The sequence below is a fragment of the Homo sapiens genome, chromosome 8 (genome assembly GCF_000001405.40).
Source record: "Homo sapiens chromosome 8, GRCh38.p14 Primary Assembly".
NCBI lineage: Eukaryota > Metazoa > Chordata > Mammalia > Primates > Hominidae > Homo > Homo sapiens.
Window position 1 is genome coordinate 93,348,171 of NC_000008.11, and position 25,902 is coordinate 93,374,072.

Here is a 25,902-nt window from a genome sequence, read left to right on the forward strand (position 1 = left end):
ACCCATCCATCAGCTCACTCTTGCAGCATCACTGGAGGGCCCCCCTCACATAATAAACAAGAGAGACCTGGAGGGGACATGTTTTCCTTCAGAGCTTGAACAGCCCTTGGGGAGGAGTTAGAAAGTAGATTTAAAAGGAAGAGTCCGGCAGGGTGCGGTGGCTCACACCTGTAGTCCCAGAACTTTGGGAGGCTGAGGCAGGTGGATCACCTGAGGTCAGGAGTTCAAGATCAACCTGGCCAACATGGTGAAACTCTGTCTCTAATAAAAATACAAAAATTAGCTGGGTGTGGTGGCACATTCCTGTAGTCCCAGCTATTGGGGAGGCTGAGGCAGGAGAATTGCTTGAACCTGGGAGGAGGAGGTTGCAGTGAGCTGAGATCACACCACTGCACTCCAGCCTGGGTGACAGAGTGAGACTCTATCTTAAAAATAATAATAAAAATAAATAAATAAAAGGAAGAGTCTTCCTCTGATTACATATATTCCAGCATCAAGAATTTTCCCATGGGAGGATTTTTCTGAGGTCCTAGGTAAACCAGGTGGTGCCCTGTCGTAGATGACAGATGAGATCAGGGCCTTCCTGTTCTCTCCCTGTTCTGTCTCATTCCCTCCTCACCATTACCCCATTATTTTGTCTGTGAAAACTATTGGCAGTCTGAACTCCTCTTCACTGGGAGAAATCTGGGATAGATGGTCAGTCTTTGAGGAGCTGAATTAGGGCAGGTTATCCCATCTAAGGCAACTCTGACTGAAAGACCCAAAACGTGAGTCTAAGCCAGTATTTGTACAGATTACTAATGGTCCAAGCCAGGAAAACTTAGTAGCAATGCCAAGTTCAAAGGGAGGGAGTCAGTTGCAAATGGGAAATGAAACCAGAGATCAGGATCTGGGAGAAAATAGGAGCAGAGCAGAATCAGATCAGGAAGGAAGCAAGATGATTCTAGGCCATTGTTCTCTCACTGGCGTGCTTTTGACTTACCTGGTTATTTTAGTTATTTGGTTATTAGATCCAGTGATGGACATCGGCACTGGCTAAAAGATTCAGAATTGGAGCCAATACTCCCCTCTTCAAAAAACTTTTGGCTCTCACTTTATCTATTATTACTACTATTATGTTTATATAACAATAATGTATTATTAATAATTTTTACTTTTTTAAGTAATAGGCCTTTTTTTTTTTTTTCCGAGATGGAGTCTCACTCTGTTGCCCATGCTGGAGTGCAGTGGTGCAATCTCGGTTCACTGAAACCTCCACCTCCCGGGTTCAAACGATTCATGCCTCAGCCTCCTGGGTAGCTGGGATTACAGGCATGAGCCACCATGCCCAGCTAATTTTTTTGTATTTTTAGTAAAGACAAGGTTTCACCAGATTGGCCAGGCTGGTCTCAAACTCCTGGCCTCAAGTGATCTGCCTGCCTAAGCTTCCCAAATGCTGGGATTACAGGCATGAGCCACTGAGCCTGGGCAATGGGCACTTATTTACCACCCACTGAGAGTTTAACAGAGAAAAAAATATTTAAATCTGGTTATCTCTGATCCTGAAGACCAAACTTCTTTCCTAGTTAAAAAAAAAATTCAGGGAAGGGTGAGGGTAAACAAGATACTATGATAAGCCCAAGCTAACCTAAACTTTTTCTTCTGACATTCTTTTACTTTTCAAACTCTGTATTTTCAAACAGCGGAAGGAGAACCTTAGGCACACCAAAAGCATTCATAAAGCAATGTTCTGTACCCAGTCCTGTACTAAGTGTTGCAGAAGTCACAAAAATTATAAAATTCGGTCGCCTCCCTCAAGGTTTTTACAATGTCAGTAGAGAGATAGAAGACCTATATGTGAAAGATGTGCAAAATGTAGGTGAGTCTTAACTAGATTTTGCTAGGTAACAAAACCACCCAAAACTTTATGGCTTAAAATAATCATGTATTCAATTATGATTCTGTGGTTGGCAGTTTGGGTTGGGCTCAGCTTAGACATCTCATCCTTACCCTACATAGTGTCTACTGAGCTCACTCCTATATCTGGTGCCTCAGCTGGGACAGCTAGCAAGTCTGGGGTGGCTGGATCTTTCTCCTCATTGGAAGAAGTGGGCTGGCTTATTCACAGAGTGGACAAGGGCAGAGGCTGCAAGGCCTCTAGTGGCTTAGGTTCACAGCTTGAGTATCATCACTTCTGCCACATTCTGTTGGTCAAACCAAGTCATGAGGCAGCTATAATTCAAAAAATGGAGAAACCTACACCCGCCTTTTAATGGGTCAAGCTGTAAAGAATATGTGGTCATATTTAATCTACTACGGTCACCCATTAGCTATAATTATTTCTATTTCTCCCATATGCCAGGTGAATTCACCCCATCCCAAGACCGCCCAAAAGTCTCATCCAATTGTATCATCAAACTGAAAGTCCAGGATCTCAGGAAGTGCATTTGGTCCAGGTGTGGATGAGGACCTTCTATTACAGCTCCTTGCATGTGGCTCCTCTTAATCCAGAAATCTATGAACCAAACAGACAAGTTTGTCTCCATCCTCTCCCATACCCAACATACAATGGTGAGATGGCAAGAGGATAATCATAATAGACACCCCATTCAAAAAGGAGAAATGGGGAGCACATAGGAGCCATAGGTCCACAGCAATTCAGGAATACAGTCATGTGCATATGACCATCAGAAATAGCCCTTGTTTACAGATGAATAGCTTTCCTCATCCTAACTCCTGCCCTAAGAAATTCTGTCTTAGTCTCTTAATGCAAGCTTATATAGCCCCCTTTAATACCTTGTGGGTTTTCTATGTATCAGGGAGTCATCCATTTCAATAGACAAAGGAAACACACACAATTCTTTTTAATGCAGCATTCTTTCTTCTTCAGGCAGTATATCACAATGTTGTGAGTTAATGCCCTCAAGATCTTTAGAAGTTATTTTGTTGAGTTGATATAATATACTAGGAACAACCACAAATCCTTCTGAGGTCTTTGCAAGAGTCTTAAAGTCACTCCCTTAATTAGATTTTAGAAGAATCTTTTGCAAACTGGAGAGACTGAAATGAAAAACAAGTTTATTTTCTAATTTAGAAGGTCCTGAGCCCTCTATCTTGTTTCTACTTTCTGTTTGCAAATGAAACAGTTCTTTATTTAGTTCATCTCCTTCGGCCTATACATTATTAACAATATGCCTGGAAATTTTCTTAACTAGATCCACAAGTTTATTAGATAAATGTTCTATCTTCCAAGTGACCACATGCAATATTTTTCCAATTGTTTTGCTCCAAAACCAGTGCCACATGTTTTAGGTTTCTGTTATAGCAGCATCCCCCTTCTAAGTACCAATTTCTGTTTTAGTTAGCTTTTGCTGCCCAACAAACTACATCAAAAATTAGTGGCTTAAACACTTATTTCCTCATAGTTCTATGGGTCAACAATTTGTATTGGGCCCAACCACACACTGACTTGGCTTCTCTGGTTATAATCATTGCCAAATATGCAACCAGTCAGCAAAAAGACCAACACTGAGTCCCTGATATGGCGCATTTCCTGGGAAATCTGCCAGGTTGATTACATTAGTCCATGTCCATGTCACAGAAAGACAGCACTCTGCTCTCTCTGGAACAGACCCTTATTCTGGATATGGATCTGCCTTCCACTCCCATAATACTTATTCAAAAACCACCATCGTGAACACAGAATGCCTCATTTGCAATCACAGTGCTTTACACAGTATTGCTATCAACCAAGGAAATAAGTAAAGAGGGTCATGGGCTTATGCTCATGAAATTTACTGGGCTTGCCGTGGTCCTCATCTCACTGAAGCAGCTGGCTTGGTAAAGGGCCTTTGAAGACTCAGTGATGGTGCCAGCTGGGTGCCCATACTTTGCAGAGTGGGTGTGATATCCTCCAGGATGCAGTGGAGGTTCCAAATTAGTGGTTATTGTATCATTTTCCACATGGATAGGATTCAGAACCTGAGAATCAAGGGATGGAAATAGAATGGCTCCTCTCATATTTCCCCTAATCATTGACTAGTGAATGTTTGCATCCTATCCTCACAACTTTGGGCTCTGCTGATTTAGTTTTGTTGTTATAAAGGAATGCTTCCAGGAGCACACAAAAGATAATGATTTCATTAAACTGGAAGCTGAGAGGGACATGTAGACACATGAACTCTTCATGCCAGAAAACCAAGAGTTGAAGAAAGAGTTACTGCATTGGTTGGGGTGATTAATTCTACCGAGAGGAATTGGTTTGCCCCTAGAGAGTTTTTTTCCTCCGCTCTAAAATTCAATGCAATTCTCAATTCTGTCTCTAACTATCCACAGTGAGCTGTCACACTCCACAAGTTTAAGGAACTCCACACTGCCACAAAATTTCCTTCACTTCAAACTCCAGTCACAAGTACCGGGTCCCCAGGTTACCCACACATCTGTCCAACTTGGCTGCAAAGTCACAGGTTCCCATAGCCCCCCTCTTAGATTCAATAACTTGCTAGAACAACTCACAGAACTCAGGAAAATGTTATACTTACAATTATAGTTTATTATAAGAGATACAAATGAACAACCAGATGAGGTACATAGGGTGAGGTCTGAAAGGGTCCCGCATGCAGCAACCTCTATCCCTCAAAGTTGGAGTGTGCCATCCTCCTTTTACATGGATGTGTTCATCAACCCAGAAGCTCTCAGAACACTGTCATTGAGGGATTTTTATGGAGGTTTCATTATGTAGGCAGAATTGATTAAATCATCGGCCATTGATGATCTCTGTCTATAACCCCTTTGCCGTCCATCCCCAGAGGTTGGGGGTGGGCTGAAAGTTCCAACCCTGTAATCACATGGTTAGTTCATCTGGCAATCAACCCCCATCCTGCAGCTATCTAGGGGCCTGCCAAGATGTGTCACCACATGAGAACAAAAGATGTTCCTATCACCTTTATGACTCAGGAAATTTCAAAGGTTTCAGGAGCTCTGTGCCATAAACTGAGGACAAAGACCAAATACTTTTCTTATTATACCACATTACTGCATAATGAGGATAGAGGCCTTTTAATACTCCCATGCTTTTTGATAAAAGTAAATAGAAAACTACAGTAACCCAGCATAGGTGGGGGCTGCTGATAGCACAGACCTTTAGGAGTGAAGGCTTAGGTCCCCTTCCTGCCACCAGGCTAGGAACTGTGAAGAGTTGAGGTGCTTGCTTGAGCAAAGGGATATGGAATGGCTACTGGAAGAAGGAAGTTCTAAATACCATCTAAGACCATGTGACTACTTGCAGAAAAAAGGACAGTAGTACTTACTAGTATTTCTTTCTTACTTTGATATAAATATATATTTTCTTTTTTTCTCCTCTCTGATTCTCCTACTATCTGATGTAAGATGTGTCCATAGTTGCTAACATTATATATCAGCATTTAAGTTACAAGATATCAGGGGGTGGATATGTTGAGCTAGAGGAGGAATGAACATTCCCCAGTGAGTAAATTGACATATGAAAACTCAAATGCTCTTTTAGGGAGTGAGTTAGAGTGTTTTTAATTGTATCACATTAAGCAGAAGCAAGACTTTTATCGTTATTTTGAAGTTAAATATGGTTAGAAGAGGTGTATACGGATGCCAAGTTATCAAGGTGCTGACTGTATTGCATTGTTTTATCATCAACGTGTTTACCCTTTTGCTAGAATCCCCTCCCCTATATAATTCCAGGCTAGAGTTAGCCAAGGAGATGAAAAAGAAGCAGCATCCATGACTCTCAATGCTTTTCACACTAGATGAGCTGACAGACTGATCAGAGGTGCCAGGAGGGTCCTAGCTTGTCCTCATTCTCCTCTGCCTTGGTCCAGTCCTTCTCCTTGGCTGGTGGCCACTGCTCAAGCTACTGCTGACCACAGCAGCCCTGAGTCTACCACCAGAAGCTTAATGACAGAACCATGAAGACAGGAGCTACTCAGGGGCAACAGCTTCCCAGTTATGGTCCCATTGTGGCAGCTGACATCTCCTGGCTTCTCAGACTTCCTCCTCAGGCTGTGAGGTATCCTCGTGCTTCAGGATGGAGAGGTAGTGACTCTTCTCTGACCCTCAGCTCCTCCCCTGAGATTCCACATCTCCAGCTCCTTCCACAGTTGTGTAAGGTCTAATATCTGTAATAAACCCCTTATCCCTTATTATGCTTAATGGCTCTGCTTCCCTGACTGAATCCCACTGAATCAAAGTATGTGAAAATATGACATCATAGAAGAAGCCCCTGAAGAAAAATTTTTAAATGGGGGTGCATTTGGAGACATAGTACTTACCCCACTCCAGAAGTTTCTTGTTTTTCCATGTAGGGGATGCCCACTTGCAAAACCCTCCTAGCCTCTCTCCACCCACAACCTCCTTCTTAATTGATGAGTCTGGGATGTGGAAGTGGATCTGCATAGCTCTGTCACTTCCTCCTTCTCTTGGGAGGGAGCCACCTGCTCAACAAAAACACACACTCCACTCTAGGTTTGGCAGGGCCAGGTTCTTGCTGGGGGCAGCTCTGCCTGTGAAGAGATGGACATGCCTTTCTGATTCTGGATTATACATTTCACATCTCACTTGCCACTTTCTCCAGCATCAGTCATATCAGAATAAAGATCATCCTTTGACCTTCATCTGTCCTACTTCTGTGGATTTCTCAAATGCATCAGAACTCAGATGGGAGAGAGAAGTGTTCATCCTGGGGCTCCCTTGAATCCCAGAAGGGGTTACTCAAGGGAAACTGCTGAAGAAAGCTTTCCACCGGTTTGTGAAGGATGTAACTGGAATGGGATAAAAGAGATAGGAGAAGGAAGGTGAAGAAAACAGCCTGGGCAAAGAAAAGAAGCTGTATGTAGAGAAGGAAAATTAACCTGAGGAATATAGAAATTTTTTAAGCAAATGAAAAGTAATGGGATGGGCATGGTGGCTCATGCATGTAATCCCAGCACTTTGGGAGGCCAAGGTGGGCAGATCACGAGGTCAGGAGTTCGAGACCAGCCTGGCCAACATGGTGAAACCCTGTCTCTACTAAAAATACAAAAATTAGCTGGGCATGGTAGTGCACGCCTGTAACCCCAGCTACTCAGGAGGCTGAGGCAGGAGAATTGCTTGAACCCGGGAGGCAGAGGTAGTGAGCCAAGATGGTGCCACTGCACTCCAGCCTGGGTGACAGAGTGAGACTCCATCTCAAAAAAGAAAGAAAGAAAGAAAGAAATGAAGGAGTTAGATGAGGGACAGCAAGGTAGCTGGTGAGGGGCTTTGAAGACTAAATTTAAGTTTTTAATAACAGTTACTTTAATTCTGCTCCAATTATTCCACTTCCTCCTAATATTAAATTTTATGATCAGCTTCACTACCAATTTAATGAAATACGCAATCGGCTCTTTTATAGATCTCTTTTATTGCTAATATATGTTTCCTACTATCTAAATCAGAGAAGTGACCTATCAACAGTAACAATGGCCTGGGCTCTTACTGGTCTCTCTCCCAGCATCTTACTTGGACTTTCCTTGGAATATATTTTTCAGTCTTACAACATTAAAAATAGTTCTCAGGAGTAGAATCCCTTTTCGATGCTACGAAATTTATTTCAGGGCACTTTACTAAGAAAGACAATGAGAAAGAGAAAGATGGGTTGATAGAAACACTTTACCCTGGCTCAGAGTCTGTCAGGAATTTAAGAGATGAATTGTATCTCCGCGTCTGAGATCATCCATGTGTTATGAATCGCACTGTTGGAAAATATACCAATATTTCCCTTTAGTCCCCGTTCTATCCTTCCCCTCCCCATCCTCACATTTCAAATTCATTTTTGTTTCTGTTCCAGGCCTAATGAGACCGTGATCAATGTGTCTCAAGTTGACCCTGCCTTCATGTCTTCAATCATACCTTCCCTGTCTAATCCACTACACTCTGATCTTTGTCAACTGATGGATTTATTTAGTTAAGAAAACTAAAAATACAATCACACCTCAACTTCACAAACAGGCCTCTCTGGTTTGATTTTCTTCATTTTATAAAATCCAGCCAACTGCAGACACTGAACTATGCCTTTAAAGAATCTGTGTCTGAACTGATGATATTTTCTTCATTTGTGAGGACTTTTTAAAGTCTGCTTCTTTCTGCTCAAGACGCTTCCTGGGTAGTGTCCTCTGCTGGAATGCTTCCTGAGGCCAAGGTTGTGAGGTCTGGTCTCAAAACCTCCATTCCTAAGCAGCTTTCTGCATGAGTTAGGTTGTCACAGTTCCCCTCTCCTCACTAACTGGGGGCTCAGTGCACAGCCAGCATCTGCCAAGGGGATGCTGAGATGGATCCAGCAGCCTGGACATGCACAGCAAGCTGCCCACAGATAATCCTGATCGCTGAGGACAGGGTGGGATGCCATAACTTCACTCCTAAAACTCTTTCAGACTGTTCTTGTTGTTCTTATAGTTGTACCAAATTCACAGTCGATCCTAAGCAAGCTTTATGTTTGCACATTATTGGATGATTTGGACAAAATGCTTTACATACCCTATCCCAATTGTTACTTCCAACTTTTCTAAAGATCACCCTTTTTTAAATTCTCTTTTTAGAGATGAAGTACCTGATCTTCTGACACCTTAGTTGGCATGACAACTGAGTGAGTACACCAGGCCAGCTTCATGTTCCTTCTTCCTGTGCCAATTTCCTCCCCCGCCTGACTTCTGCTCTAATCCCTGCCACCACTACAGTCTCCGTCTTCATCCTGAGACCCCCAATGCCATCTCCACACCCACTGCCTTCATCTCTTGCTACTTCTACCCTCTAGTCTTTCCTCTCTGGGTTCCAAAGCACTCTATCACATCCTACCATACTCCAGCTGCGGATGCTTTGTCAGGTCCTGAATATTTTCAATGGATATCTGGGACTCTAAACCCTACCAAGGCATGACATGAAAATAAGCCTCTATGCCTTGGATTCATCCCTACACTTTAGCAAACTGGAATAATAGAAGACCATGGCATATGAGGAGGAAGGGGAGAGGAGCAGGATATAATTGCCTCTCTCCTCTCCCCTTCAACTTTCTTTTTTTTTTTTTTTTTTTTTTGAGACAGAGTCTTGCTCTTTCGCCCAGGCCGGACTGCAGTGGCACTATCTTGGCTCACTGCAAGCTCCGCCTCCTGGGTTCATGCCATTCTCCTGCCTCAGCCTTCCAAGTAGCTGGGACTACAGGCGCCCGCCACCGCACCCGGCTAATTTTTTGTATTTTTAGTCAAGACGGGGTTCACTGTGTTAGCCAGGATGGTCTTAATCTCCTGACCTCATGATCCGCCCGCCTCGGCCTCCCAAAGTGCTGGGATTATAGGCGTGAGCCACTGCGCCCGGCCCACTTTATCTTAGCCTACCTTTTTCTTAATGTTTTTGTCGTTTCTCCCATTCTAGGGTAGAGGGATTCATTTTAACCTAAATTTTACCTAAATGGAATTAAGGGAACATACTGTGATTTCTTCCACTCTTTATTTCCTTGCCTAATACCTTTCTTTTGTCCTTACATCCTTGCAATAACTTATACCCTCACACCTACAGTATCCATCACCAAGATGATCCTAGGTACCTTGAGACATCAACCTTCCCATGTGTCCTGGCTTCAAGTCTACTTTTAAGGGTGGCCTGAAACTCATGGAGAGAAAATAGAAATTTCACCTTACTAATCCAATGTGAATTATATTCACCAAAGTAACAGATCTCAATAAAATTTATATTCTCTTTTTTTTGTCATTTGTGTGTTCACTGCTGTGATTAACAATCATTCACATTTGGAAAAGAATCAAGTAAAGCATAACTGAATCCTGATACCACTTGGGAAAGATAGTCATAGATGTGAGAATGTTAAGACGGTACGAGGGACACAAGGAAAATCATTTGTGTAGCCAGCACACCACATATTTTACCTGCAAATTCCTGGACTAGGTTCATAAAACACTCTCAGATCATGTCATGTACATTTTTCATAAGAGTTGAAACTCAGCTTTCATCTGAGGGTACTTCTGGGGACAAAGCTCTGTGAGAAATTGCAGTCTTATAGTTGTGTCAGTCCTCAATCAGGAGGATATTTAATGACAAGAAAGACACATAAGGAGCGATGAGAAAAGTGGAGTTCTTTCCTCTTTAAATAATCTGTAATGCCTTTTTTAATGCAACTGCAATTAGCCAAAGAGGAAAGTGTGGGACTATCTCATCCCATTTTCAAAAACCACCAATAGCACATATTACATACAAATAATGCATGGTATCATTTCAAATATTTTCTCACATTCCTTAGTTTATTCCCTTTACAATCCTTTGAGGCAGTCAGAAAGTGCATTGCTTTTGCAAGTGGGAAAGCAGAGGGAGGTAAGTTGCTTGCCAAGGTTGACACAGCTAGTTAGTGACGGTGTTTGATTGGAACCCAAATTTGTTGCATCCATCCAGGACACCCAGCACCACGTCAATCTATTATGCTAGTTCCATACTGCCCATGAGCTTCCAGGCGTTCCTAGAATCCATGAAAATTATATTTTTTATTGAGACCCATCTGACTAATTGTGCTCTGTGTCCAAGCCAAAGAATGCCATAGTTAATTTAGAAAAATGGAAGTTTAAATGTAAATGCATCCAACATCTTGCATGCAAGACTCCTGCCTTGAATTTCTTATAGCACCTCTCTGTCAAAGAGCTCAGGAAAGTTTGCAGCCTCTTGCTAATCCTCCCAACATGCCTGTGAAAGGCACACTGGGCAGTTTTAATTATGGCTGGTTTACAAATAGAAAAACTGAAACACAGATGGTGAAAAATGAAGCTGAGTAAGGGATTTCCCCAGAACCACTGGCATATCAGACCCAGGCCACTCTTTGCCAGGCCTGGGCAATCTCTACTTGGCCACATTTTCTGGGTAAGAGACCTCAAATGGCAAATGAGCATTAAAGACTCCAGTGTGTTTCAAATGCAATACACACATACTTGAGAGGTGGTAAAATAACAGGTTCAGAGGATGTGGTTGTTGTGAGGAGTCAATGATGCATATGGACAGTGCTTGGCATCAGGTAGCTGGCAGGTAATGTAGGCACAAGAAATGGAACAGAGAAATTAGTCTCTGCCTTGAAAAAAATGAGGTTGCTGATCTGGATACTCAATAAATATTTATAGAACAAAGGAAGAAAAAAAAAACGAGGGAGGGAGAGCCTTTTAAAATAGAAAACTGGGTTCATGCCCTTTCCCTGTGACTCGCTGGAGTTTCATAAAATGGTTTTATCTTCTGTAACATGGTGGCTTTAGTGGTCTAAATACCATTCACAAACATATATTCTGGCCATAACATTTCTTAACACCGCCCTCATAAGAGTCAACTCCCACCTCCCTGTGCGGGCTTCTTTGCTTGAGTTACCAATAGTTACCCCAACCTAACCAAAACACTTAATGCAGACACATCCTTTCTATTATGGGTTGTTTCAACTTTAGTGTAAAAGAAGGACAAGCCTTTTTTAAAGTAACTAAACATAGTTGGCTGTATTGCAATAGCTTGTGAGGTGCTCGTCATAAAACCAATCCTTTTCTTTTTTAATCTTTTTCTTGATTATCTCCAAAAATAAAGCATATTTCTTCCCTATGTGCCAGCTGCAGCCAGATGTAGGTAGGGTGTACAATTAAGACTCCGAAAACTTTGCTTAGCAAATTGAAGGAAAGATGTTAGAAAAACTCATGTAACTCACTTGCTATTTGGTTTTCTTTATGGCTAAATTCAATTTTTTACCCCTTAATTCCAACACAGAGCCCCCTGACACTCAGGAAGCCTTGAAATGGTTTCCTGTCTTCTGGTTTATCAGATTCAGTTGCTCTGCTCAATAGAATATTATTAACTATGCCTATGTTAAAAAGTAATAAGCAAAAAAAAAAATGCTTGATTGCCTAGAAGAGATTGTTATATATGAAAAAATTGAATTGCTTTTAACCTTTTCCAGGTAATGTATACAACTATTCTTTCAATGTTTAATCCCATTATTTAATGTAAGGAAATAAATAAATAAAATTGGGCTGACAGAAGTGGCAATATAATATTCTTTAATCTGCAGCTCACAGTGCATTTAAAAATAATAATTTTGAAAACAGCATTTGAAAACATTTTATCTTAAAAATGCATATTTTGCTTATTCTAGTGTTTGTTGATTTGAAGGCTTTGAGGTCAGCCCAGTAAATATTCAGTTTGCTTGGCACAAACTGTGCAGGAATCTAATAGAAAGCAATATTGTTGAAAATGGATATCAATTGAAAACAGAGAGCAGTGTCAACTATTCCCCACTGGGAACAGACAACAATAAAACCAGTCAAGCATTACACAGCCGAGCCTGCCAAATGTCATTAGAGTGGAGAAAAAAGGAAAGGAACATGGTAGGGAAAGAAGCACTTAGCTTTATTTTTTTCCTCCAATTTAAAAAGACATACACACACACACACACACACACACACACACACCTAAGTGAGGGATAGGGAGAGAACATTTAGAGAATAAGGACAATAAAACCTAAAATTGTCCAAACCAGTGTCACCATTCTCTTAAAGTTGGCATATTCTCTTTTCTTTTCCAACGTGATTACATTATAAAGATTTTCAAATAATTTCTCTGTCTTTTCAGTTGATCATTTTCCCCCAATAACTCTTTTAATCAAGTGTATTTATAATCACAAAGTTTTCCATTTTTAAATCAGCATTGCAATATCATTTATGGCAATCATACGTCTATCATCGTTTAATTAATTGATCTCAGTTCTGGGCTTTTGAAATGTATACTTTTTCACTGTTAACCATCAAGCGTCAGTGGAGAGCCTTTCAGAGGGAACGGGCTGCAGAGAAGCCCTATCTCTGGGTGAAAAGAAATATTTACAGTAGCTCTGAAATCTGTTAAATTATGAGGATGTGGGAAAAATCATTGCCGGGCAATGGGACCATGGGGAAAAACACATCATCACTCCCAATCCCACCTGAAGGCAGAACTGGGAACCAGTGACTTAACCCCAAAACTTCTGCCATATCTGTGGCATTTTCATTGATGATTTGTAAATTTTCAAACAAAGAAAAATTGTCTCCTACAGACAATGGTCAAGCTGCTGAACAGCCAGCCAAGAGCTCCCCCTAGTGAAGTTGCACAAGTATTAGTGTGAGCTCCTCCATACATGCACGTCTGCTCGTACACACACACACACACACACACACAGATTTGACTCGTTTGTCCAAAATATTGTCCACTCCACCTTCTTTCAAAATAACATGAACAAAAATTGCCCAAACTCTCCTGAATGTTTTCTACCATTCATTGTTAAACTCCACACCCAGCAGTAAAGAGCCAGAGAGAACTCCCTTTTAGAAGGCAAAACTGTCAATCTGATCATATCATTTTGAAATCATAATAATCACATATTGGCTCCAAATCTGCATCCTCAAGTAGATGCTATCAGTGTAGAAACTCCTCAGGGGCAGCATATTACTATGTAATTAGCATAATAACTTTGTTGTGTAAACAAAATAAAAGACAGGCTTGAATGCGAGAAATATATCTTACACTGTAGTGGCGTCTACAGCTTCTACAGAAAAACCTATTGTTCTTGGCCAAGCTTTTATTTTTGTCACAATATTACTTTGATTAAACACGTGCTGATACATGCAAGCAGCTTTCTTTGTAAGTGTACTGCCTTCGTATACATGTATACACATGACCATATATTTTACTGCAAAACAATCTACAGAACACTCATCCCACTCATATTTAACAGGACTAATTTGCTATAACACCAGCATCGCATCTCCCAAGTCAGCCCTAATTCCTTCAAATACATTTTGGCTTCCTCCAAAAAGATATTTTATCGGTTTTATGAGCCTGGATAGGGCTCTGAAGGGAGAACAGGCATTCTTTAGTGGGGAGAAGGTAGCAAGCGTAGATATCAGATGCATAGATGAAAAGGATTTAATGTCTTCCTAAAAATTCTTTGAAAGCCATATGAACATTTTTAGGAAAATATAAATGACTGCCATTTTACAATTAACAGCTGCTTATGTTAAGCACTGAATACTCCCTAGCTCCTGCTAATATATTTTTTCTTAAACCATAGATCCACAAGACAAGTGATAATAGCTCTCAGATGCTAAAGGTAAGTCTATTTTTCTGGGAGATTCTAACCCTAGAATGCAATTTGTTTAGGTTCCATATATTTACGCTCAATTCTTGAAACCAGCAGGCCATCAGAATGACACAGATTAGGCTATTGTTATGTAGGGTTGCTTTTATCATGGAGCTCATTTACATAAAAATCATATGCATATAGGAACTAAATTTAAATAAACCAGTTGGCTTAGAAATACCATTACTTACCTCCCTGGAGGATGGTGACAATTAATACTGACATCTTTGCGAAGCTTTGCTGGGACATGCTGCCATATAAATATAAATAATAACATTTCAGTTTTATTACAATATTTTTAGGATATTTTAAAAACTCATTTAATATACGCAGATCCTTGTTCTTTCCATAATTCTCAGACCTCCACAAATCCAAAAGAGAAGAGGTAGGGGACTAGGGAAGATAGCATAACTAAGCCATTCATTGGGACAAATGTGGATATGACCAGTTTTACCAATTGGCACCACTATTAGGGCAAGAACTTCACGTTCACGAAACCCACAACTATGATGAACTCTTCTACAATTCACTGTTGGACAATGGGTATATAATTCAGCCTGCAAAAACTGATTTTTTTTTACCTTACAAAAGGGGGAGTTAGAATTCTCAACACCTTCTTGAATCAAAAAGAAGTACTAAATAAAGAATCGAAGTTGGACCTATTATGTTAATCAAAATTCTGAGGGCATCTCTGAAAGTGTAATTTGGCCCAATGTGTGGTTTTTTTTAAATCATGAAAATTAGCTAATGAATATTGTGCAGTCACTTCCCTAACATAAAATAACTCAACCATTCAAATTGCACAAATTCCAAAATGGTCTAACTTACAATACATCACTGTTTGCTTGTTTGTGTTAGAAGTGCTTAACCTAATAACATGGTGAAATTGTATCCTTTTAAAAATTCCAATTTTTATGAATTAACAAGAGACTCATGGCTGAATTTTTTTATCAGTTTAGCTATTACAATCCCAAATACTAAACTCTGACAATATTTACTGCTGCTTAAATTCATTAATCAGAATTTGGTCCTGTCAGTTTTCACTAGGTTGGGAGTCAGAAGTCTCAGGCTTTTGAGCAGGCACTGACAATTCTGGACTGCTGGATCTTGACTAGGCCACTGTGTCCTTGGACTCTCAGTTTTTTCATCTGTAAATTATGGGTAATAACATCTGCCCTGCTGACCTCATGGGATCACTATGAGAATTAAATGAGATAGCACATGTGGGAAATTCTTTCAATATTAGACAGTGCTAGATAAGTGCGTGCACTATTAGTTTGAAAAATAATATCTCAGTCATCAAGTTTAATCATCTCTAAAGATCTTCCCTAACCTTCTAAATGGTTCTTTGCGTTGATTTCTTTCAGAAAAACAATAAATGTTGAGTGGCGTATTTGCAGAAAAGTTTTTTTTTAAATCTATCACTGCTAACATTAGTACGTTAGTTAAGTATCTAACTCAGCTCTAGACACTCTTCTCTCATCAGAATTGCCCCCAAATGCAGTGAGAACACAGTCCATACATAGCGTCACCATGCTTATTTGGTTTGGTTTCTCCCACACTAAAACCTATTGTCCAGGTGTTTTTCATGGGAGAAATTGCAGAGAGGGCCCAGGGCCACCAGACATAGGCTTTGTCTGCCCTTGGCTCCATCATAACCAAAATAGAAGAACCATATAGCAGATGTGTTCCTTTTTAAAAACTAGAACTATATGAAATACTATTTAGTAATAAAGAGAAATAAACTGTCACACACAGCAATGTAGATGAATCTCAAATACATTATACTAAATGAAAAAAGCTAGGCTCAGAAAGCTTATACATATGATATCATTTTCACGACATTCTAGAAAAGGGAAAACTATAGAATTATAGGATAGGAAACAGATGAGCAGCTGCAAGGGGCTGGAGGTGAGGGAGAGGATTGGATACAAAGGGGCCTGAAGACATTTTTGCAGGTATGAGACTATGTTACATTTTTATTATGCCGGTGGTTACCTGAATGCCTGTGTTTGTCAGGGCTCATATTTAAAAGTGGGAATTTTACTATATGTAAATTATAGCTCAATAAACTTGTTTCTGTGTTTTTTTTAAAAAAAAAGACTCATAGAAAAGTCAACATGAATTTGTTACCCTGCTTTGAATTGTGTTACCTCTTTTAAAATCAGATTGTATTTTCTTTGTAGTTCAAACTGTTCTCTGGTAAAATGAAGTCATATTAAGCTAATCAGACACATAATTGAGTATGGTTAAACTCTGAAATAAAGTTTTCAGTGCATATCTACCACATTAGTAATTAATTTCCAGAGAGTACAAAAAGTATAATGGTCTTGCAATGATAACCATTTTATTTTTATTGTTTTCCAAATGGTAACAAAAGATTTCAGGTCATAAGCCTAGTTGTATAGATTTAACCTCTCCCCCATCCTTATCTAGTGCTCAGAGAACTGTTTATATTGTTTCACAGGTGTTACCCATAGGACTCGGAGCATGTTCTCTCATACAGGGCTGTCAGTCAAAAATTTCAATTGGTTACAGAGGACCTCACTTGAATTCTGAGTAAAATATGTGACCAGGAATATTTGATCAAGGGCCCAAAGTAGAGAAAATAAAGCGAATGAATCCAAAATAGCCCCTAGAACTCTGCCAAGAATTGCAACCCATACATATACTGTACAGATAACGTGCTATAAAATGCTAGCACTAAGAATGTTTCTTTCTAAAGATTGGGGTACAGCTTCCAGCTTCAGTGATTTTATTTTCTTATCAATAGAATTGTAAAATTTTAAAAGGCAGAGGGTATCAGCGGGCAGCCCCTTCCTGGGACATGCACGGAGAGAGGGGGTTAAGGGAGGGACATGTTTGGACAAGAAGAAGCTGGAGGAAAAGAATACCACCTCTCTCCAAATCCCCATTCCATTCCTTCTGTTGTAAAACGCTGTATAAAACAATGCCCATATAATCTATCGCTGGGAATACAATTATTTGCAGGTGTCTCAAAGCCATTTAGGCTCATTCATTCTTCTTTTCTCCTCATTGACATTAGTTTAATCTGTGAAAATCAGATCACAATCATGCCAGACTTTTTACCTCATTAGTTTTCTATTGTCTGTTCTGAGGCATCGCATACATTTCTATCTCCAGGCAAAACTGGTTCTTGTCTGCATTGCGTTTCCATCCCTTCCCCCCTTTTCATTCTTATGAGCAAGAAGCACTTTTAATTTAATACTTTAACTACCTCTAGAGCTAAATAGGAAAGATTTCACCTGCATTTTTTTTAAACTGACAACTTTGAGATATAAACATGTTTCTGGTTGTTATTCAAACCGTGCATGTGATATGTGTGAAGTGCCCACACCCCCAGATTTACTCTGTAGATACACAGTAATTCTCTGTTGATGACAAGTTATATTAGCTACATACAATTCCATTTTTTCATTGTGTTAACTCACAGCAATGTCATTTTCTTGATAAATTTGTGCCTCCTGTGTGTCTTTATCACTATGCTAAGAGAAGCCTTGCCTAGCATTATTTTAACTATATTTGGAACGGGGTTAGAGCATTTACTCTGAACAGCCAGATCTATGGGACAAACCAGGGATATTAGCAAGAGGATGGGGCTGTTTTCTGCCGAGCCTTGAACTTTGGCATTTAAGATTACTGCGATTTTTACTTCTCCAGATGCTGCTTCAGACACATAGTAGATAAAATGTTGAAATTCCTCATCAACTAGTTGTATAGTAAGAACATGCATCTCTTTCATATTTTAGCTAGTACACAATTTCTAAATGGGTTTGCTATATATTTTATCAAAAATCTAATTTTCTGATTCAGGGCTTATGGTCAGTTATGATAGTCCTTAGAAATTGGGGTCAATAAAGAAAACTGCTGATAGTTCTTTGAATGACTACATATTTCAGTGTTAGCATTGTTATTAATTTTTCAAGAAATCTAAATTATATTTATAAAATGTCATGAACTGCTCCATTCATTGTTTATTTCCTTATTGTATATAGGCAGAAATTATCTGCCATACCAAGCAGCATCAGATCCCCTGACTAAACAAGTTTTACTTCCTTTGGGGAAAAAATAGTAATAATAACCTTTGATTATATAAGAACATCATAATCTACATTGTCATTCCTGGTTCAGCCCATGCCAAGAACATAGGACGATTTTCATATGCTCTAATCAAATATTCGGGGGTTGGGGAGTCTCACTGCAGATCTCCAGATCAAGATTATGTGACATGCCTTGGATTCCAGCCAGGTTTAAGGCTCTTCATTTTTAAAACAATAACCACCTGCTAAAAGAAGAAAGCAGCCATTTCCTTCTTGACATTCGTTAGCTTAGGATCAGCAGAATCTTCCTTCTGCTTAGATTGAAATGTAATAGCTGCAAGGTTGAAAACTGAAATCTTGCACTAAGCACTTCATTGCTGCTGGCTTGTAATTTTTTTCTTCTCAAAAATTACACACACAAAGCAGTTTTAGACTCTGTAATCAGATATTTTGCCTCATACTACTGTGTGATTTGGGATGTTTTCTTTCTTGTTCTTTTTATTTTTTTAAAAAACTAGATCTGCACAATTCATTCTTTCAGGGAATACACAGGCTCCACACTGGACTCTCACTGCTGCCATATGGCATTTAGGGAATTTTGACCAGGCTCAATGAGTAAGATGAACTCAGACTAGTTAACTCTCATAGGTCCAAAAGCCCTCAGCTGAGGTTGACTTGACTCATTTCTATCGGCTTGCTGTCCAGTTTCACAGGAGACTGTAGATGTATGTGTTGTAGGAAGAGGAGGGTTGGCAGTGGAGAAGCAAAGGCATGGAAAGGCCAAAGGCAAAAGAAAACAAGGACTTGATCTCAGCCTCAAGGTGTCTCTTTATAATGGGCTCAGATTTTGCAGGGTCATGAAATGCATCTAACTTTGCTTAGATACAGTGATTCTCCCAAGAGTCCTCTGGTTTCTCTCCACTCTGAGCTGACAACGGCATTATCATTTTATACTCTCACCAGTCCACATACCTCCAGTGGGAAAGCATCTTGAAAAAAATCAGATTTGTAAATTGTATATACAAGCAACAAACATTTTAATTAAAAAATGCTTTGTTTGCAAAACGTACAATTAAACACCATAATCTTGCACTTTGTTAAGCACCACCACTTTGGAACCAACACTTTTCCCTCACAATGCATTATTATTTATAAATGTGCTCAAGAGTTAATATCTGTATTTTAAAAAGTGTAATATAGCACATTGCTTTAACATACTATGGCAGTACACTTTATAGAAATTTGAGCTTACAAATTCATTTTTTCACATTCTTCAAAATAGACTCTTTCTTTAAGTATATACCTCAATATGTACTATTGTGTGTGTGTATGTGTATGTGTGTATTATTCAGTTCATTCTTAAATGTCTTCTGACCTCAGATGTAGCTTGTCCAAAAAGCAACACCACCCACAATTAAGTTCCCAACTTTCCACATCGCAACTCACCCGTTCACCTAGGATTATAAAACTTTGAAATCATCCTTCCCTCCCTACATCTATTCATATAATATCAGGGAATAAAGGAAGCAGGCAACAGAATTGGATCAGGAAATGCTTTTTCAATGGTTTATCTCAGCAGGTATAAAAAGGGACTAGACAGTAAAGTAAACTTAAGCTAAGGTATGGGATGAATGCAAACCCCTGTTTCTAAGAGTCTCTTGATAATTAGAAAAACCTTTTGGCTGCCTTTTGGTTATCTCTAATTGGAGTGTCTCAGATTTTCTGTCATTCCCATAACATAGAGAGGAAGAAGCTCTTATACAGGATGCACAAGAAATCTCTGCTGTATCCTTTGTTCATTTGTGATTACATTATTAACATCTACTCCAAGCCTGGATTCCTTGCAAAGATCATCTGAAATTATTTGTCCATTGTATCAAGACTGATTTTTCTAAAATTAGATCATATTATCTATAAATACATTTAACTCTCCAAGGGTAAATTGCAAAGTGTCTGAATACACAAAAAGCCAGTGACTGTGGAAGAGCATTGCAGGCAAATCCTGTACTTTGTGAAACTCCCCTCCTAGACCCTGAATCTTCAGGCCTTGTACATTAAACATGACCAGCTGACACATGGATCCAGGGGAGATGCTGGTGTCTATATGCATAGTAAACATTAATGAAGCTGAATTGTTTTTATTTCTTTGGATTAACACAAACCTATAGGCAGAAGTTCTCATGTTTTCTTGCAGCATCCCAGTGGAGTATCTTGCACCTCCCCTGAGTATACATGCCCCATTTGAGGGATCAGCACTGTGTGAGTCGGAGTTCTCCAGAGAAACCGAACCAAGGGGATACAGAGTCATTCCTCGGTACCCATGGGACATTGGTTCCAAGACACACTCTTGCCTGCCACAGATACCAAAGTCCACCAGTGCTCAAGTCCCTTATATATAATGGTATAGTATTTGTATATAACCTACACACATCCTTCCATATACTTTAAATCATCTATATTACTTATAGTACCTAATATGATGCCTATACATCACTTCTTTCATGTGGATTAAACATAGTACTCACCACGTGGCAAATTTAAAACTTTGCGGAATGTTTTTCTCCTGAATATTTTTGATCTCAATTTTTGGTTGAAGCTGTAACACAGAATACACAAATACAGAAGACTCTGTGTGTGTGTGTGTGTGTGTGTGTGTGTGTGTAGAAAGAGAGAGATTTTTAAAAACTGGCACATACAATTGTTGGGGCTGTCCAACTAACTCTGTAGGGCAAGCCAGCAGGCTGGAGATTCAGGTAAGAGTTAATGTTGCAGTCCCAAACGTAAAGACTTGAAACTTGGGCAGAATGTCTATATTGCCATCTGGAGGCAGGATTCCTTCTTTGGGAAATCCCAGTCTTTGTTCCTAAGGTCTTCAACTGATTGGATGAGGCCACCCACATTATGGAGGGCAATCTACTTTCCTTAAAGTCAACTGATTGTAAACATTAATGACATCTTTAAAATACCTTTACAGCAACATCTAGACTAGTGTTAAATCAAACAGCTGGTCAACATAATCTAACCAAATTGACAAAATTAACCATCACAATTCCTATCTACTGTGCTGCAGAAAAAGAACCTCATCACAGACAGACAAAATGCCAGGCTGCTTTCCTCTTCCTCCTTCCTTTTCAAACCCCAATAGCTTCACTGTAGAGAAGAGGGAAGGGAGAGCAAGAGAGCAGACAACCCCCACTCTGCTGTAGACCCATGCTGGGAACTCTCTTCTGCCCTGAGAGAAGAGAGCTTTGAATCAAATCAAAAACCAAAGCTTAGAAATCAGCATGACTTAATCTTAATTACTAAGATGAAATTGTGTTAATCACTGAAGGGGACTAGAAACTTGTGGAATTGGACTGAGATGTCATCAAGACAAGTGCAGAATGGGAAAGGAGAGTTCAACACGCAGAACGGTAACCATGTTGGGGGAAAAAGAAACATAGGGAAATGTCATTTTTTGAGACTTCAGAAGCATCTTTGCTCTTTGTGTGCAGGTACAAAGAGCAGAGAGCAAAGACACTATGAATAAAACTGGGTCAGGATAAAAGAGGGGGGCATGGAAGTGACATCATTGCGGGGTGTGACCCAGAGCTTCCAGGTGGACTGTGTGGACAGGCTTGCCAGGGGACATGGCTGGCCTGGCCCTGACGAGTGCTGGGGGTCATCCAAACCTCCAGAGCACAGACGTCAATGTCAGGTGCATACTGGTTTGGATCCAGTCTCTGCCACTTTAAACCCCTGTTACTTACCTCCTCTTTCTTTATACCTCAATTTCCCCAACTGTACAATGGAAATGGTAAAAGCTACTTGCTGTATAGGGCGCTCTTAGGGATAAATGGTGGCACAGAGTGAGTGTTTCAGTAAATGTGAACTCGAGTCATGGTCACCATCATCCCTTTAACCACGAGACGGCAGAAGTTACTTCTTCCACTAAAATTGAAGCATCTGGTAAACTCTCGACTCACTTCACTGAATGTTTTATGTCTTAAGATATTGGCTACCTCTTACAGAACTCTTATAACAGGTACTTGCTGAAAGCATTTCTTATGTGTACTTACTACAATAACCCCATAAGGTGGGTACTGTCTGCATTTTACAGATGAGAAACATCACTGAGGTTTGTATAGGTTTTCCAACTTGCCCAAGGCCACACAGCTCATCAGAGCTGTGCTGTTTCCAAGATACCATACTGCCTCCCACTGAGCATGGACCTTTTTCTGGAATATTTGTAGATAACATGGAAATGTCGATAATACTGAAAGGAAGTAGTTGTGTTGACAGTAAGTTTGAATCGTAATGCAAAGAACTAAAGCCATATCCATAAGTGTATTCTTGATTTTACGTGAGCAGATTTCAAAGTGTTGGAGCAGGGGATAATTGGGTATGTTACCACAGACATTAGACTCATAAGTAGGAAGCTATAATCAAACAAATTTCTGACAGTCAAGTTAATTATGGTCGAAGGTGGAAAGAGGAGAGGGAAGGCAATCAAAGACACAGATGTGGCTACACAGGGCTTTCTCTGGTGAAGTAGGATTCTAAAAGATTTTGATCAAAATGTGTCAGTCATCAAACATGAAGGAGAGGCACAAACAAGAAGGACTGGCATCTTAAGTAAGTCCAGAACAAGCGGAAGGTTGGGGATCATGCCAAAGACAACACAAATGTTGTTAAAAATTTTGGGAGGTGGGGAGAAGTAAGAAGTATAAAGGAATGGATTGACCCACTGTTTGGAGTAGGTAATATAATGTTGAGAGGATGACAGATAAAAGGCAGAATTATTCACCATCAGTTTTGCTTACATTTTTCACCAAGAAAAATAATCTTCAAACTGCAAGGTGTTACAAAGTTTATGATGAATGAAAATTAAGAGAATCTATTGTAGCTTTTAAGTCCTTGATCCCAGATATATGTTATCCCCAATAACTTGCTGATGAAATGCAGAATCACTGATGATAATCCAGGAGAAATAAAAATTGGGGAAAAAAGGCCCACTCAGACCCTTGCTGTCCCCAAATTCCCGATGGCGTACTGAGATGCCCTGCCTTGCCAGAAACACTAAATGCTGCAGGCTGAGCAGGCCAAAAGGTGGAAGATACAGAGATAACAGAAATTACTAAAAAAAAGTCGAAGTTAATAAATCAATTATTTATCCTTTTAGGGGAAAAAACGTAGATTCTCTAGAGTCTAAGGATTAAGAATGATTAAATCTTGGCATCTACATCCAGCAAGATTACATGCAGCCTTTTTTCAACTTCACGCAGGAGCAGTTACAAGAAATGAGTCTTAATGTTGAACCAAAGTCCTCTTCTTTCCTTCTCATGGACCTGTGTCTGCCCTCTGGAACAAGGAGTACCAACTGAGGGTCCATGCACTGAATTCAGCCTGCAGGCCTGTTTTGCTGTTTGAGGTCATTTGTTTGTTTATCTTTTGTTGCTTTAAAGTGAGTCATATACTCTACACAATGCCCAGAACTCTATCCTGTACTTCACTATTCAATCATGTCTACTACCTGCCTATTGGCCGCGGGTGTAACTCGAGTCTGCAACCTTTCTCTGGACCACATAAGAAAAATCTAATCCTTCTTCTTTTGCATCCTTCACATCTTGAAAGCCTGAGGGTGTTTTCAACAAGTTTATGCCAATGGCTGAGCTCTTCACCAGGCCACTTAAGAGGACTTGTGTCAGTGACTCTCCAACATTTATATTTCAGCCCCCCAGTCTCAGAGCCAAAGATCCTGGGACCCACATCACCAATCCTTCCCACTACTCACAACTTAGTAATAAAAAACAATGATAGAGGATCAAAATTTAAACGCTGCAATAAATGTACTGCTAACCACACAATATAATTGCTCATTGTTTATTCCAGAAAGAAAAATACGATCTTATACAAAATTTTCATCCTACCCCTGCATCTCCATTTCTATAAAATGGAGCAATTTTTCTCCCAAAATCACAGTAAGAATTAAATAACATGAAATGTATTTTAAATGCCCTATAAATTAAAAATATCCTGGTCATCTTATTATCTTATTACTACTTAGCATATGTTTTAAGTAGCACAGATTTACAGAGAGCATATCACCAATGAAGTATTACTGTGCAAGCGAATTTTAGATGAAGTACAGATACATTTTTTAAGAAAAATATACAGATTATTTACATTTCAGCCATAACACCATTATGCCTTACATTCAAATTATTAGAAAATTATAGGCCAAAAATACTGTTGAAATTAAAATGCATTCTCTACACTCTATGGTTTAACAACTCACAACAAATTAAATCAACATGAAGAAACCAATAATAATTATTAAAAGCTAGAGTAGGAGCAACTAAAAGCAACAAAAGCAACAATCAACTTGCTGCACACTTATAATAAAAGATTCTCTCTCTCCTCTCTTTTTTTTTTTTTTTTTTTCCATAGAGGTGGAGTCTCATTATGTTGCCCAGGCTGGTCTTGAACTCCTGGCTTCAAGGGACCCTCCTGCCTCAGCCTTCCAAAGTGCTGGGATTACAGACATGAGCAACTGTGCATGGCCAGGATTCTTTCTAAACTTTGAACATTCCACCTAGCTAGATATGTGCTTACATAGTGGGAGCTCTGTAGTAACACTAGCAGCAAAACCACACAGTGGAGTAGTGAATTTCCTCTCCCAACCCCAGAGAGGCATTTATATTTAGGTATACCAAACTAGTAACCTTTATAACCCACCCAGTCATATAAAGAAGAAGCAGTGAACCTACATGTATTTGTCTATAAGTACTAACAAGCCTGGCTGATAGAATAACTGTTATCTAGAACATTTTGGCAGAGAGAAGAGAGTGCGCTGGAGAGTTTTGCACTGGCGATTAAAAGCCTGATCCAGAAACGACACACATCATCTCTTCTCACATCTCATTGACCAGAGGTGGCCACAGAACCCCACCAACCTCAGGAATCCAAGAAATACCATCCTACCATGTACTCAGAAGGCAGAGATCTGGATATATTTGACAAAAAGAATTAATTTTAACATCACATGAAGACCCCATTTATACGTCCTTTGCAGTTTGCTTTTAAGCCACAGCTGACTTGGAGAGTAAATTGGCCTTATACTGGCCTTACAATATTCTGCCTTTCTTCTGTAGCCATCATAGTGATGATGATTTTGTTATCCTTCTATTCTAGTAAGGAACACAGCAGCTAACAATTATGAAGGGCTCACAATATGCCAGTCACTGTGCTAAGCTTTTTACAGTTACTAACTCGGTCTACCCCAACAACAACATTAAGTTGCAGTTATTGCTATTATTGCCATTTACAATTATTTCAGTTGCAGTTAGAAATATGATGAGATAAATCAAGAGCTGGGAGGCTGGAGTTTTGAGAACCAAATGTCTATGGAGGTAGCCAAAGTCTGGAACAGAGATAAATAAACTTGCTCAGAGAAAGTATTTGACAGAGATAAAGAGAGATCAAAGCAAAACACCATGGATGTATCTTGAGGCACAGCCACATGTGGAGGTGGGAGGTACTGAAAGAGACCGAGAAAAAAACAGAGAGGCAAGAAAAAAACTAAGAAGAGAAAAATTCAAGAAGGAAATGACTAGGTGATCAATAGTTTTAAATATTGCTATGACATCAAGATCAAATAGTGTATCTTAGTCAGTTCAGGTTGTTACATCAAAATACCATAAA

At 39.7% G+C, this 25,902-nt stretch overlaps 1 long non-coding RNA gene across 1 annotated transcript in view, besides 1 other annotated feature; it reads right to left on the reverse strand.

The window, feature by feature from the left end:
* Positions 1–25,902, reverse strand: part of CIBAR1-DT (CIBAR1 divergent transcript) — a 353,967-nt gene that overhangs the window by 1,704 nt on the left and 326,361 nt on the right. The window contains exon 10 of the long non-coding RNA NR_033858.1: positions 14,350–14,408. This is a non-coding gene — a long non-coding RNA (CIBAR1 divergent transcript). The remainder of the gene's footprint in view (positions 1–14,349; positions 14,409–25,902) is intronic.
* Positions 12,991–13,285: an enhancer, noted in NCBI's record as "tiled region #13407; HepG2 Activating non-DNase unmatched - State 12:CtcfO". NCBI's record gives its function as "activates a minimal TATA promoter and a strong SV40 promoter by Sharpr-MPRA in HepG2 cells {active_cell/tissue: HepG2}" and the evidence as "EXISTENCE:reporter gene assay evidence [ECO:0000049][PMID:27701403]".